The sequence below is a fragment of the Homo sapiens genome, chromosome 9, assembly GCF_000001405.40.
Source record: "Homo sapiens chromosome 9, GRCh38.p14 Primary Assembly".
NCBI classification, from domain to species: Eukaryota; Metazoa; Chordata; class Mammalia; order Primates; family Hominidae; genus Homo; species Homo sapiens.
Genome location: NC_000009.12, coordinates 99,206,717 through 99,222,031, shown reverse-complemented (window position 1 = coordinate 99,222,031; position 15,315 = coordinate 99,206,717). Strand labels below are relative to the sequence as shown.

General features: G+C 42.1%; 1 protein-coding gene across 3 annotated transcripts, besides 2 other annotated features; it reads left to right on the top strand.

Moving 5' to 3' along the window:
• ALG2 (ALG2 alpha-1,3/1,6-mannosyltransferase) lies at positions 90–5,607 on the top strand. Of its 3 annotated transcripts, NR_024532.2 has the most exons (3): positions 90–485; positions 895–1,053; positions 3,196–5,607. NR_024532.2 is itself a non-coding variant. In NM_033087.4 (2 exons), exons 1-2 carry the CDS (start codon positions 138–140, stop codon positions 4,096–4,098), a joined length of 1,251 nt encoding a protein of 416 aa, NP_149078.1. In that variant the 5' UTR covers positions 90–137; the 3' UTR covers positions 4,099–5,607. The 3 variants fall into 3 exon arrangements, 2 of the variants coding, with proteins under 2 accessions (NP_149078.1, XP_047279952.1); NM_033087.4 differs by lacking the exon at positions 895–1,053; XM_047423996.1 differs by lacking the exon at positions 90–485 and having other exon boundaries at positions 517–1,053.
• Positions 3,001–3,170: an enhancer, noted in NCBI's record as "experimental_103900 CRE fragment used in MPRA reporter constructs". NCBI's record gives its function as "activates a minimal promoter by MPRAs in K562 erythroleukemia cells, with activity observed for both the introgressed and non-introgressed 9:101981229 or rs41274646 variant alleles {active_cell/tissue: K562}" and the evidence as "EXISTENCE:reporter gene assay evidence [ECO:0000049][PMID:34662402]".
• Position 3,085: a transcriptional cis regulatory region, noted in NCBI's record as "Neanderthal adaptively introgressed variant 9:101981229 (GRCh37/hg19 assembly coordinates) or rs41274646 in the experimental_103900 CRE". NCBI's record gives its function as "modulates activity of the experimental_103900 enhancer by MPRAs in K562 erythroleukemia cells {active_cell/tissue: K562}" and the evidence as "EXISTENCE:reporter gene assay evidence [ECO:0000049][PMID:34662402]".

Genomic DNA, 15,315 nt, shown 5'->3' with positions numbered 1-15,315 from the left:
TTTGCGCTGATGTGGCCTAACTGACGCACGTACGGCAGGGCGGGGTCGGCCCGCAGTGGCCAGCTGGGAGCTACGAGCGCGGAGCTTGCGCAGAAGACCCCCATCAGGGTGCGGGGTGCAGTTGCGGCTCCAGGGCCATGGCGGAGGAGCAGGGCCGGGAACGGGACTCGGTTCCCAAGCCGTCGGTGCTGTTCCTCCACCCAGACCTGGGCGTGGGCGGCGCTGAGCGGCTGGTGTTGGACGCGGCGCTGGCGCTGCAGGCGCGCGGGTGTAGCGTGAAGATCTGGACAGCGCACTACGACCCGGGCCACTGTTTCGCCGAGAGCCGCGAGCTACCGGTGCGCTGTGCCGGGGACTGGCTGCCGCGAGGCCTGGGCTGGGGCGGCCGCGGCGCCGCCGTCTGCGCCTACGTGCGCATGGTTTTCCTGGCGCTCTACGTGCTGTTCCTCGCCGACGAGGAGTTCGACGTGGTAGTGTGCGACCAGGTGAGGCGGCCGCGGGGCCGGCTGCGCGAGTGCGGACCTCGCCGTGGAGGGCGGCCGCGGGCATGACCCCTGAGAGAAGACCTTCCCTGTCTGCGGTTCGCAAAGATCGGAACTGACATGGAGAAGTCAGGGTTGTGAGCGAGCCTGTGGTTCTCTAACTTTAGTGTGGGCCCATTTAAAGTTGCAGATTGCTGGGGTTCCATCCTCCAGGAAGTTTTCATCCAGGTGCCCTGAGGTGGGGCCCAGACATCTGCATTTTAACTGGGTCATAGGGTGATTCCGAGGTAGATAGTCTTTGGGGCTCTGAGAAACGCTGGTATTAGAAGTCAGCTTCAGTCACCTTTTACTAATGAGTAACTCGCGTGTTGTCTTCCCGCTTACCTGTTATTTTTGTTGACTCTCCTTTCAGGCCATTTGCATCCCACTGTCCTTGTGTTCGGAGCCAGGCCACACCGTCCTCAGCAGTGTCATGTGTTAAAAACGCCAAGCTGAATATATCATGCCCCTATTAAAACTTGTACATGGCTCCCCATTGGTTTTTGGAGAAAAGTTCAAGCTTTTTACCTTGGTAAATAATGTCCACCTGGATCTGCCCTGTAGCTATTCTTGACTCTTTCCTTCGTGCATTTTTCCCCATCCTAAAAAAGATGACTTTAAAAAGTAACATTTACTCGATTAAAAATTTAGTAGTATAGAAGGATGTAACCTAAAAGCCCCGTCCTATTCTACTCCCTGAAGATAGCCACCGTTAAGTTTCTCTTGTATTTTTTCAGAAGTTGTGGTGACACCAGCCTGTGTCTTTTCATAGGTATATCTATATCTTCTTATTGGTACATAATTGGTATTATGACATACCTACTATTAGGCATCTTTTTCAGCAAAAATTTATTTATTTATTTATTTATTTTGAAACGGAGTCTTGCTCTGTCTCCCAGGCTGGAGTGCAGTGGCGCGATCTCGGCTCACTGCAACCTCCGCCTCCAGAGTAGCTGGGAGTACAGGTGCGCGCCCCACGCCCGGCTAATTTTTTCTATTTTTAGTAGAGATGGGGTTTCACCATGTTGGCCAGGCTGGTCTCGAACTCCTGACCTCGCGATCCGCCCACCTCGGCCTCCCAAAGTGCTGGGATTACAGGCATGAGCCACTGCGCCCAGCCGGGACATTCTTATGTATCAATATTAGAGATTCACTTCATTCTTCATAGTGGCCAGAAAATCCACTTTTGTTTAAGTGTGTCATAATTAAACATTCTCCTTAAAGGACACTAATGTTGTGACTAGTTTTTTGTGAATAGATCAGTGTTGTAATGAACATCCTTTTACTTCTTTTTTTTAAAATATTTTTGTACTTCTGCAAATATGTCGTTTGAGGAAATTCCTAAAGTTGGTGGGTCTAAGAGTTGTTCATTTTAAATATCAATAGCTACTGCCAAGTTTGCCTACCAAGGAGGCTGTGTCACTTTACTCCCCCACAATGTATGATAGAGCCTCTTACTCCATGCTTTTGTCCGCCTTGGATATTAACCATTTTAAACTTTGCCAAACTGATAGGTGCAGATGGCATCACATTTGTATTTGTGTTTCTTTAATTATGACTCCTGAGTTACTTTTGATCATCCTTGCTTGCATGGAAGCTTTCTTTTTAAGTAACGTGGACATTTACCAAACATCCTGCATGTGTCAGTAGACATGAGGCAGCTGAGACTATAGTGGGTAGAGGAAAAATTATTGGCTTGGAAATAGGCATCTTGGATTCAAGTTCCGTATCTACTGCTTTAATTAAGTGGCTTTGAATAAATTGCACATTATCCCTAAAGTTACCTTCTTCAGGTTTTAAGTTAGCTGAGACTAAAATGACTTGTAAAGATTACCCAACAAGAAAGTCTGTAGTAATGCCAGCATGTAGTTCATGCTCAATGATGACTAGCTTTAATATTTATTGAGCACATACTGTGTGCTAAACTCCATGTGTTTTGCATATATCAGTGCATTTAATAATCACAAAAAGTATATGGGTTTTTTGAACTATAATTTGTCACCATGTTACAGAAGAGGAAACTAAGGCCCAGAGTGGGATAAATTACTTGATCGTGGCCAGTTAGTAGAGCTGAGATTCAAACCCTGGCAGTCTTGAATCTAGAGCTTGTGCTCTAAACTACTATAGTTCATTCATTCAGTTCCTTAGAAGGAGAAAGATCCTAGAGCGGCACTGTTCAGTATGGTAGCCACTAGCCACATGTGGCTGTTGAGCACTTGAAATGTGGCTAGTCTAAACTGAGATGTGCTAAAGTTAAAATACAAACCGATTTTGAAGATGTAATGTGAAATATATGTATATATAAAGTATCTCATTAATACTGTTTAGTATTGGTTACATTTTGAAATGATAATGTTTTCGGTAAATAATATGTTAAAATTAATTTCACCCTTAAAAACATTTTTAATATTACTAGATTTCTATTAGACAGCACTATACAAGAGGAAATCACTGGACTTGAAGCTTTAAATGTTTAGCACACATCTAGCAAACGTCTGTAGCCTTCTGTACACCAGGCATATGGTACTGGGTGAGAGTCTTGGGGAATAAAACAGAATCAGACATTGCCCATGAGGAGCCCACAGACTAGCCAGACGGGGTGGGTGTCTGTGTTTTTGGTTTGGTTGAAGTTGAGTTGACCACTTTATCCGCTGTTGATTTTTGCTTTGGCTAGGTGTCTGCCTGTATCCCAGTGTTCAGGCTGGCTAGACGGCGGAAGAAGATCCTATTTTACTGTCACTTCCCAGATCTGCTTCTCACCAAGAGAGATTCTTTTCTTAAACGACTATACAGGGCCCCAATTGACTGGATAGAGGAATACACCACAGGCATGGCAGACTGCATCTTAGTCAACAGCCAGTTCACAGCTGCTGTTTTTAAGGAAACATTCAAGTCCCTGTCTCACATAGACCCTGATGTCCTCTATCCATCTCTAAATGTCACCAGCTTTGACTCAGTTGTTCCTGAAAAGCTGGATGACCTAGTCCCCAAGGGGAAAAAATTCCTGCTGCTCTCCATCAACAGATACGAAAGGAAGAAAAATCTGACTTTGGCACTGGAAGCCCTAGTACAGCTGCGTGGAAGATTGACATCCCAAGATTGGGAGAGGGTTCATCTGATCGTGGCAGGTGGTTATGACGAGAGAGTCCTGGAGAATGTGGAACATTATCAGGAATTGAAGAAAATGGTCCAACAGTCCGACCTTGGCCAGTATGTGACCTTCTTGAGGTCTTTCTCAGACAAACAGAAAATCTCCCTCCTCCACAGCTGCACGTGTGTGCTTTACACACCAAGCAATGAGCACTTTGGCATTGTCCCTCTGGAAGCCATGTACATGCAGTGCCCAGTCATTGCTGTTAATTCGGGTGGACCCTTGGAGTCCATTGACCACAGTGTCACAGGGTTTCTGTGTGAGCCTGACCCGGTGCACTTCTCAGAAGCAATAGAAAAGTTCATCCGTGAACCTTCCTTAAAAGCCACCATGGGCCTGGCTGGAAGAGCCAGAGTGAAGGAAAAATTTTCCCCTGAAGCATTTACAGAACAGCTCTACCGATATGTTACCAAACTGCTGGTATAATCAGATTGTTTTTAAGATCTCCATTAATGTCATTTTTATGGATTGTAGACCCAGTTTTGAAACCAAAAAAGAAACCTAGAATCTAATGCAGAAGAGATCTTTTAAAAAATAAACTTGAGTCTTGAATGTGAGCCACTTTCCTATATACCACACCTCCCTGTCCACTTTTCAGAAAAACCATGTCTTTTATGCTATAATCATTCCAAATTTTGCCAGTGTTAAGTTACAAATGTGGTGTCATTCCATGTTCAGCAGAGTATTTTAATTATATTTTCTCGGGATTATTGCTCTTCTGTCTATAAATTTTGAATGATACTGTGCCTTAATTGGTTTTCATAGTTTAAGTGTGTATCATTATCAAAGTTGATTAATTTGGCTTCATAGTATAATGAGAGCAGGGCTATTGTAGTTCCCAGATTCAATCCACCGAAGTGTTCACTGTCATCTGTTAGGGAATTTTTGTTTGTCCTGTCTTTGCCTGGATCCATAGCGAGAGTGCTCTGTATTTTTTTTAAGATAATTTGTATTTTTGCACACTGAGATATAATAAAAGGTGTTTATCATAAAAAAGAAACAGTATTAGATTTTGGTCTCCATAATCTATTTTGGTATTGTTACGAACATGGATATGACAACCAAACTGGAAATCAGAACACTAGGGTAAAGTGGATATTGAAATGAAGCAAGAATATTGTCACACATGTGTTGTGCATCTTGTTTAGGGTATATTTCTTAATGTCATCTAGGTCATTAGTTTTGTTAATATTTGTGTTGTCTTGACCAAGCTCCTACTAAGTATAGGACACAAATGTTTTTTATCTTCCAAGGCCTGGCTCAAATGCCACTGCTGCAAAGCTTTCTTTGACCCTCTGGCCACCTCCCAAGCCAGAAGTTATCTTCCCCCTCCATGTACTCTAGCCTTTTCATGACACTGATATTTTCGTGACACTGACTTATAGTTCACTGTTTACCTGTTGGTCTAACAGCAAATCATAAACAGTAGTTTTCAACATACTTCTAAGGCTAAATTCATTTCCAGAAGTAGCAAAGCTTACTAGCCAAAGGCTCCACATTTATCAACTCTTAAGAGCTAGACTTGAGAGCCTAACAGCCTATATGATTTTGTGTAAATTGATCTCTATACCTCAGCTTCTTCATCTGCAAAGTGAGATAATTGTACTATTCTACTTTCCTCATAGTGCGGTTATAACAGATTATGATAATATTACAAAGTACTTAATACTTGGCATATAGTATATATATTAGCTATTAGTATTTTGCAATTTGGGGATATTGAAAATTAGAAATTGCATGTTAGTTCATGCTGCACTACCATATTGTTCTTTTGGGGCTCTTCAATGGGTGAAATTCCATTTTACAGTTTATCATGTGCATCTGTATCACAGGAGTATTTTGGCAAAATGATTCTGTACCAAAAAGGAGTACTATAAAATGAGGGTGCCAAATATATTGAGTCTTTTATGGGATTAAAAGTTCTGTTGCATTCCATTTTCTTTGGCATTGTGAAAGCTTACCATGTAGTACAGAAGGTATGATTTGGTTCATGTGTTTCTGAGAAATGCAGCCTTTCCAGGAAGCCTGGTGGCTCTTACCATGGAGTTTAGCACAGATAGACTTGGCCACACTGTGACCTACAACATGGTGCTTACCTTACTAAGCAGCACTAAACATTTGCATATTTGACCATTTTTATGCAAATCCTTTCAAATGGACTACATGGGTTCATGGACCCTGATTTTAGCTTCACTTCATTGTCCTAAGCCGGAGTGAGTGACAATAAGATTTCACAGGTCTGGGAGGGATGGAGTCCTGCCTGCCATGAGCTTCCAGCTTCTGACCATTAGTTCCTGGTTCCTGGACCCTAGAATGGAACTTTGCCCTTAAGAAGTGTTCACACCTTCCAAAACTAAGCTGAAGTTAGGGAAAGTAGAAGCATGAAACATTGAAGGTGAATTGTTGGGGCCTTATCCATAGTAATTCTGGTAATTACTTTGTGCAGGGCAGGAAAGGAGATACATACATAGCAGATGCTTAATCCTCAACAATTCACTGAGATGTAGGTATTCTTCCCTTTTAGATGAATGTAGTTAAGCAAGTTGCCTGCGTCCCATGGCCTTGAAGAATGGACAGAATCTCAAGGCCCTCTGATTCCAAAGTCCAACCACTTTACTATTCTTCAGTCTGCCCTCACCCTAACCAAATTCTTTGTGTAATGTTTTTTCAGTACAACTCCCTCTGCAGCACTGCAGTTGTAGTTGTACAGGTCTTTGGGTTTAGAAAGACTTTGCTGTTTACTGTCCATTTGCCTCTTCCCATCAGTCTTCCGAGGTGAGTATGATTATCCCCCATCTTACACACAAGCTCAGAGAGGTGAAAGACTTGCCTGAAGGCACACAATTGAAAAGTAACTGAGCCAGCATTTGGCCCTTAGTTACCTGAGCCATCCGGGACTTTGCGCATACCAGAATTTCTCAGTCTCCTCCTCTTTGATATGCGTAAATATCATTTGTCCTTCATACATACACACATAAAAACACGATGGGCCAATAGAAGAGGGAGTATCATGTCCATAAAGAGACCCACTCAGCTAAGGGGGAGTAGTAGTGCAGTTCTTTGATCCAATGACAAATGTCTACTGAACACGTATTTGGACAGCCTTTAGAGCTTTTGCAGAGCTCATTAGAGATTGTCTCGTTTGCTCTTCACAGCATCCTTTCAGGTAATTATAGGCATTTTTAGAGATTGAAAGTCTGAGGCTTACAGCTAGGAAGCAGTGGAGCTACAATTCAAACCCAGGTATGTCCAACTTGAGGTTAACAGTTCTTTTAGTTGTACTACAGTTGCCTCTTCAGCAAATGCTTCATGACCAGCCTGACCAAAATGGAGAAACCCCGTCTCTACTAAAAATACAAAAAAAATAGTGGGATGTGGTGGTGCATGCCTGTAATCCCAGCTACTTGGGAGGCTGAGGCAGGAGAATCGCTTGAACCTGGGAGGCGGAGGTTGCGGTGAGCTGAGATCGCACCATTGCACTCTAGCCTGGGCAACAAGAACAAAACTCCATCTCAAAAAAAAGAGTAAAAACAGCACCAGAGCACTTCACTGCTCCACTCTGCTCACTCCATCTTTAATCATAACAATCAGCCCTTCTCTGTCCACCTTTGCCAGGGTCACTAATCATCCTGTGATCTCCTTCCTTTGCATTTCCACCTCCCAGAATCAAAGCCAGTCAAATCTGACTGGGACCCCAGAGGCCACCTAACCTAATTTGGTATTGCACAGATGGGAAGACAAGCCCAGAAAGAGGAAGGGACCTGTCTGAATTCACACAGAGGGACAGTTGCAGCCCTCCTCTACTTCTATCAAAAACCACTTATATTCTATCACTTCCTTTGAACCCCTTACTCCATTCCTAACCTTAACCCTCTCGAACTCTGTCCCCAATAGCCTGAGAAGGTGTCACCCTCCAGACACCAGTGCTCTCATGCCTGTCAGCTAAGGGGAGAGGAGTCTTCCCAATGACCCACTTTCTAAACTGTCCTTGATAAAGCATCAGCTCTTGGGAGGTAGGGGAAGGGAGAATTTTACCATCCTGACCCCTGAGCCAAGGGGCTGCTGGAGCCAGCAGCTCTGTTTATGCCAAGAGGACTGGAGTTTTGGTGTTGGTATCACAATGAGAGTGTCCAGGCCAGAAATTTTTTGTTTATGGTTTCTGATATTTCCTAAGTTAGATTTTTTTTCCTCAGAAAAGAGAAATTTGAGCAATGAACTATAAAATAGTCTTGTTGGTCATTTATGTCTACTAAGTTTTCAACATAGTAGACATTTGTGTTTCCAACTAATGCCCTGTTTGAGATATATAGTTTGTTCTTTATAATCCTTATTATTATATACTGAGATTACTCCAGCTTTTTTCTACTATAAGCAGTCCAGAGGAAAAACAACTGACTTTAAATTCTAAAAGCAAATATTTAAAGTTTTAAAAGGCAAATTTGAAAAGCAAAAATGAAAAATCTAAAGAAAAAGACATGAAAAGATTGCAAAACTGCTTAGGGTACACGAAAAAAAAAAAGCAATTATCAAAAAAAATCACTGGCGATGTTTATTTTCAAACCAAATGATCATGTTAACCAGCTTGCTTTCAGCCAAATTGTATGCTTCCTTTGCGTTAGAGAACCTGGAAACCTAACTTAACACTTCAATTCAATAGAGTAATACATGATCATATGTTAGGTTATATGGGCAAATATTTAAAAATTTTAACCCAACCCTAGCTTAGGCAGAAAGGGAAGATTTTTAGGAAGCTACTGGGATAGATTGGGTAATTCAAGGAAAGTTACAGAATTGAATCAAGAGAAGTACAGGGATGTAGCTAGGCTAGATGTTCAAATGAAACCAGGAATTCAAGTGCCACCAGAACACCATTTCTTTATATGATACTTCATTGTCTTTCGGTATAGACTAACTTCTCTTTTGTAGCAGGAAACATGCTACCAGTGAAGCCAAGCCCTCCACCTTAATACTTCTACTACCAAAGAGGAACTGGCTCTCTTTTGCAGAGTTTGAAAAAATAACAGAGAAGGGTTAAGATGGACCTTTCCTGGTTCAGGTGCCCTTAAATCAGTGAAGCAAGGTTGAGAGGCAAGGTACTATGGGTTGCCAGATTCAGGTCAGCAATCTAATCTTGAACCCATCAATTGTGGCCAAGATCTAGGATCATACAGCAGCAGAAATCATATCGCTGGGAGAAGGGAACAGAGTGTATATTGAGGAAGAAATTGGAAGCTGTTCCCAGAAGAAAGTGAGATAAAGTAAGAGATCCCTTAAAAACTTATACCTAGTTGGTGGTATGAGTCATCAGAGAAAGGCATAAGCCAACTAGAATAGTTCCTAAATGCAGTTTTAATCTTGTTTGCAATTATTTTGAAGGGGTAAGACCATCTGGATGAGTCCTAATCATCCAAGAGAAAATATATTATTATTTAATAGAAACTTGGTCAGCTGAGGCAGCTTAGGGACATAAGCCTGGGAAAAAGAGACCTAGGGGAAGGCTTCAAAATGGCTGACTAGAGGCATTTGAATAGAGCATCCAAGAGAACACTAGAATTCAACAGAGAAGTGACAGGAAACAGTTGAGGCATGGAAGGAGAGGGAAATTAGGCAACTGGCTCAGCCAGGATTGGCTAGGTGCCCAGAGAGGCTAGTGTGGGGAAAGGGAGAGATCCCCAGTGAGAGATCCCCAGTGGTCCACATTCCCACTACAGACTTGCAACCCTAGCCATGGGACAGCCCCTGGATCTTCATGGGCCCAGAGACCTAACATAGGGAGCTGCCTAGAGACCACGCAACAGCATTGCTCAAGGGGGAGAACGCATGCTGGGTCCCATGTGCTCCCTGAGTCCTAAGCAGCTATAGCATGGCACCGTTTTGCAAGCCCAGCCCACACCAGACTGCATTCTACCCTGGGGCAAAATGGCCCCTGCATCTCCACATGCCTGGAGCGCTACTGATATACCCCCATGTACACCCAGAGGTCTACAGGAGCACAATACCAAATGGACCCAGCAGAATACCAGGGTTCCCAGCATTCTAACACACACAGTGTCCTACACCCTGGGGAATGAGTGGTGCAGTGGACCAGGGAAGCTACCCCTGGGACAAAGGGAATCAAAAATGCATGTTCCCTGAGGCCTGATAACTGCCTACCTGGGAGAGCTACCACAAGCAGCAACTCAACTGCCCCCAGCAGAGGAGCTGCTGTGCACATGCCCTGAGGACAGGCTCTGCCACTGTCCACTGCAGCCACTGCTGCTGCCACTGGGAAACCAAAGCATATGCCACTGGCAGTGACTCCACCTGCCAACAGCAGGGCCACTGCTACATAGTTGCATGTGCCCTAAGGACAGGCTCCCCCAACCATTGCTGCTGCTGCAGCCACCAGAACATTCCACCAGGGGTCTGGGGAGCACCCTGCCCTGCCCAACACAGCCAGCACCTGAGGACACCACCAGGAGGCCTGAAGACAGGCCTGCCTGGCCTGGTACAACCCCCACCTGCCATGCTCAAGCACACTACCTGGGGGTATGGGGATTGCCCTGCCTCATTCACCACCACTGGCATCTGTGGACTCCTCCCAGGCACCTATGGATGGGTCTACCCAGCCGTCCCCTACTACCTCAGCAGCTCCCCTACTACCTCAGCGGCTCTCCCACCCCCACATGCACCACCTCCCAAGCCTGTTGCAGCCACCGCTAACACCAACATATGCTGTTTCAGAGTCCAAGTGTTGTGTCACCACTGCTACTGCCATTGCCTATGCCACATACATTATCCAGGGGTTCATAGACTCAGCCACACACCCAGCCTACCACTGTCACTGCCAGCACTATAGCAAGGGACTCCTGGCGGTCCAAGAATCGGCACGTTTGGACCCCCAATGCTGGTGTTCACATACATCTGGAGGCCCACGGAAAGACACACTTGGCTCGCAACTGGGGCATAAGGACTGATAACCTGGCATCCCCATCCTCAGTAAAACCTCACCACAGCCTCCACTAACAACTACAGCCTAAGTCACTGAGGAAATCACAGACACCACCAATGCTTTTTACACTAGAAGAAATCATATGGAGACTACACTACTGCATGCACCCAGAAGCAAAGCTAAAGTGCTCTACCCAACACCATAGATACATCTTTAGGAAAGAGTCTCTCCCTATCAAAACCAATCCAAAAAAATGGAAGAAGTTACTGTTAAAATAGATGCACAGATGTCAAAGTAAGGACACAAGAAACAAGAAAAAGCAAGGACGTATGACACCTCCAGAAAAAACCAGTAATTTTCCAGTAATAGATTCCAATGAAAAACAAATTTATAAAATGCTGAAAAAAGAATTCAAAATAATAATATGAATGAAGCTCAGTGAGATACAAGAGAACACATTAACAATTACTTAATTGTATTGAGATTAACAATACAGTGAAATTTTAAAAATTCAGGATATGAATAAGAAATTCACCAGAGATATAGATAGCTTAAAAAAGAAACCAAAGAGAAATCCAGGAACTAAAGAATTTAAGGAATGAAATTTAAAAGAATACACTTGAGAGCTTCAACAGTAGACTAGATCAAGCAGAAGAAAGAATTTCAGAACTTGAAGACAGGTCTTTTGAAACAAGCCAGAAAAAAAAAAGAGAGAGAGAGAGAGAAAGAAAGGGGAAGGGGAAGGGAGACAGAAAAGCAACAGAAAAGGAGAAGTATGAAAAAAGAAGAAAAAAGTGAGCAAATATCTGAACTGTGGGTGTTCCAGAAGATGAAGAGAAGACCAAAGTTATAGAAAACCTATTTAATGAAATAAAAGTTGAAAACTTCCCAAGTGTACCAAGTGTACATCCAGATACAGGATACAGGAAGCTCAGAGATCCTCAAATAGATGTAACTCCACAAGTTTTCTCCACAGCACATTCTAGTCAAGCTGTCAAAAGTCAATGACAAAGAGAGAATTCTAAAAACAGCCAGAGAAAAGTCACATATAAAGGAACCCCCATCAGACAGCCAATTTTTCAGCAGAAACCCTACAGGCCAGGAAAAAATGGGATGATACATTCAAAGGGCTGAAAGAAAGAAAAGAAAACTGGCAGCCAAGACTACTCTACCAAGCGAAGCTGTCCTTCATAAATGAAGGAGAAACAAAGTCTTTCCCAGACAAGCAAAAACTAGACCAGCCCTACAAGAAGTGCCTAAGGGAGTTCTACACCTGGAAGCAAAAGGGTGATTATCTACTATCATGAAAAAACACAAAACTATCAAACTCATTGGTAAAGCAAACAAACGAGGAAGAGAAGGGACTCAAATGTTATCACTACGGAAAATCACCAAACTGCAATGATAAACAAGAAAGAAAGAAAGATAGGAACAAAAATTATATAGAACAACAAGAAAACAGTTAACAAAATGACAGAAGTAAGTCCTCACATATCAATAACACTCTTGAATGTAAACAGATGAAATTTTTCACTTAAGAGTGGAAAAAACTGACGGAACGGGTTTTTTTTTTTTTTTTAATGACCCAACTATATGCTACCTATAAGAAATTCACTTCACCTGTAAAAGACATGCAGACTAAAAGTAAAGGGATGGAAAAAGATATTCCATTCTAATGGAAAGTACAACAGGCAAAAGTAGCTGCATTTGTGTCATATAAAATAGATTTCAAGTCAAAAACAGGGTGATATATCCAGGTAGTTGTGGTGATGCTGGCCAAATAGTGCTTGGCAGGTGAGAATGTAAACCCAGGTTCAAGTGAAGTAATAACAGCTTGAATGTTTTTTCTTTCTTTTGAGACAGAGTCTCGCTCTGTTGTCCAGGCTGGAGTGCAGTGGCACAGTCTTGGCTCACTGCAAGCTCCACCTCCTGGGTTCATGCCATTCTCCTGCCTCAGCCTCCCCAGTAGCTGGGACTACAGGCGCCTGCCACCACACCTGGCTAATTTTTTTTTTTTTTGTATTTTTAGTAGAGACGGGGTTTCACCATGTTAGCCAGGATGGTTGTGATCTCCTGACCTCGTGATCCGCCCGCCTCGGCCTCCCAAAGTGCTGGGATTACAGGCGTGAGCCACCGCACCCGGCCAAGAGCTTGAATGTTTTCATGTGCTAATGTTGCACACTTGTGAAAAAAACTTTGGAAATGGAAAATATATATTAGTGCACATTGACATGCATTTTGAGGCAAAGACATATTGTTTGGTTCCACGATTTGTCCTTAAAGTGAAAGAACATTTAAAGTTTAGAATTAACCTAGCTGTAGCAATGCTGTTCTGTTAACAGATAACTAGAACTTACATTCACATTTAATTTATGTTAACTATGTAAAACCTAGTAGTGAGCATAATAGTCAGTAAATGTTTGGATTCCTCTTACCCCTCAATAAGTTTATTTTTAACATATTCCTGCCTGCCTTTCTGACCCTGTTGAATCAGCCTGTGGACTAGAGTGTTAATGAAATGTTATTGCCAAAGAGATTATGAGAAAATTGGTATATCATGTAGATATCATACAAAGTCTTCTTGTAACATAAAAAAGGTAGTTTTATTATTGTTTATGCCTCAACTATTTAAGTGAATATTAAAGGGCTTAGGAAAAAAAAGTCAAAACAGGAAAAAGAGACAAAGAGTGTATTATGTAATGGTAAAAGGATCAATTAAGCAAGAGGATACAGCAATTCTAAATGTACATGCACTCAATACTGGAGCACCCAGGTACATTCAGCAAATTCATTCGATCTAAAGGGAGAGATAGATGCCAATGAAATAATAGTGAGGGACTTAAACACCCCACTCTCAACATTAGACAGATCATATCAATGGAAAATTAACAAAGAAATAATGTATTTAAACTGTGCTTTAGACAAAATGGACCTAACACTCATTTACAGAACATTTTCTCCAGCAGCTCCACAATACACATTATTCTCATCAGCACACAGAACATTTTCCAGGATATATAATATATTAGGCAAAACAAGTCTCAACAAATTTCTACAAATTGAAATTATATTAAGTTCTTCTCAGACCACAATGGAATAAAACTAGAAATCAGTTACAAGAGGTACTTTGAAAACTGTACAAATACATGGAAATTAAACATGCTTCTGAACACCCACTGGGTCAATGAAAAACTTAAGAAGGAAATTTTTTAAAATTCTTGAAACAAATGAAAATGAAAACACAACATACCAAACCCTATGGGATACAGCAAAAGTAGTACTAAGAGGGAAGTTTATAGCAATAAATACCTACATCAAAAAAGTAGAAAGATTTCAGATAAACGATCTAATAATGCACCTTAAAAAACTAGAAAAACAAGAACAAACCAAACCCAAAATTAGTAGAAGAAATAATAAATATCAGAACAAAATTAAATGAAATAGAGACCAAAAATACAATACAAAGGATTAATGAAACGTTGGGTGTTTTTAAAAAGATAAAACTGATAAGCCACTAGCTAGACTAACCAAGAAAAAAAAAAGAGAGAAGAGCCAAATAGACAAAATCAGAAATGAAAAGGAGACATTGCAACTGATAACACGGAAATAAAAAAGAACATTAGAGACTGTTATGAACAGCTATACACTGACAAACTTGAAAACCTAGAGGAAATGGATAAATTCCTAGACACGTAAACCTATCAAGATTGAATCAGGAAGAAAGAAAAACCCTGAACAGACCAAGTAACAAGATTGAATCAGTAATAAAAAGTCTTCCAACAAAGAAAAGCCCAGGACCAAGTGGCTTCACTGTTGGATTCTACCAAACTTATAAAGAAGAACTAACATAATTCCCCTGAAGCTATTCCAAAAAACTGAAGTGGAGGTAATTCTCCCTAACTCATTCTATGAGGCCAGTGTTATGCTGATACCAAAACTGGACAAGGACGCAACAAACGAAGAAAACTACAGGCCAATATCCCTCATGAAATAGACACATAATAGTTTGTACATTTACAAAATACTAGTAAACCATATTCAGAAGCACTTCAAAAAGATAATCCACCATGATCAAGTGGAATGTATCCCGGGGATACAAGAATGGTTCAATATACGCAAATCAGTAAACATCATATATCACGTAAACCAGTGGTCCCAACCTTTTTGGCACCAGGGACTGGTTTCGTGGAAGACGTTTTTTGTATGGATCGTATGTGGGGGGTCGGGGGTAGTTTCAGGATGAAGCTGTTTCACCTCAGATCAGCAGGCATTAGATTCTCATAAGGAGTGCACAACCTAGATCCCACACATGCACAGTTCACAATGGGGTTCTGACTCCTGTGAGAATCTAATGCTGCCTCTGATCTGACAGGAGGTGGAGCTCAGGTGGTAATGCTCCCTCACTGGCTCATCTCCTGCTGTTCCAGGAGGGTACCAGTCTGTGGCCCAGGGTCTGGGGACCCCTGACATAAACAGAATGAAGGACAAAAGCCATAAGGTCATCTCAATAGTTGCGGAAAAAGCGTTTAGTAAAATTAATCACCCCTCATGAAAAAAACAACAAACTAGGTGCAGAAGGAACATACCTCAACATAATAAAGCCCATATATGACAAACTCAGAACTGACATCATCATACCAAATGAGGAAAAGCTAAAAGCCTTTCCTCTAAGAACTGGATCAAGACAATGATGCTCATTTTCACCACTTCTA

Bases quoted from the DNA above. Each gene is read 5' to 3' on its own strand.
- ALG2 (NM_033087.4), top strand. From the start codon at position 138: ATGGCGGAGGAGCAGGGCCGGGAACGGGACTCGGTTCCCAAGCCGTCG. The intron at 486-3,195 runs GTGAGGCGGCCG...TGCTTTGGCTAG, and splicing joins ACGTGGTAGTGTGCGACCAG to GTGTCTGCCTGTATCCCAGT.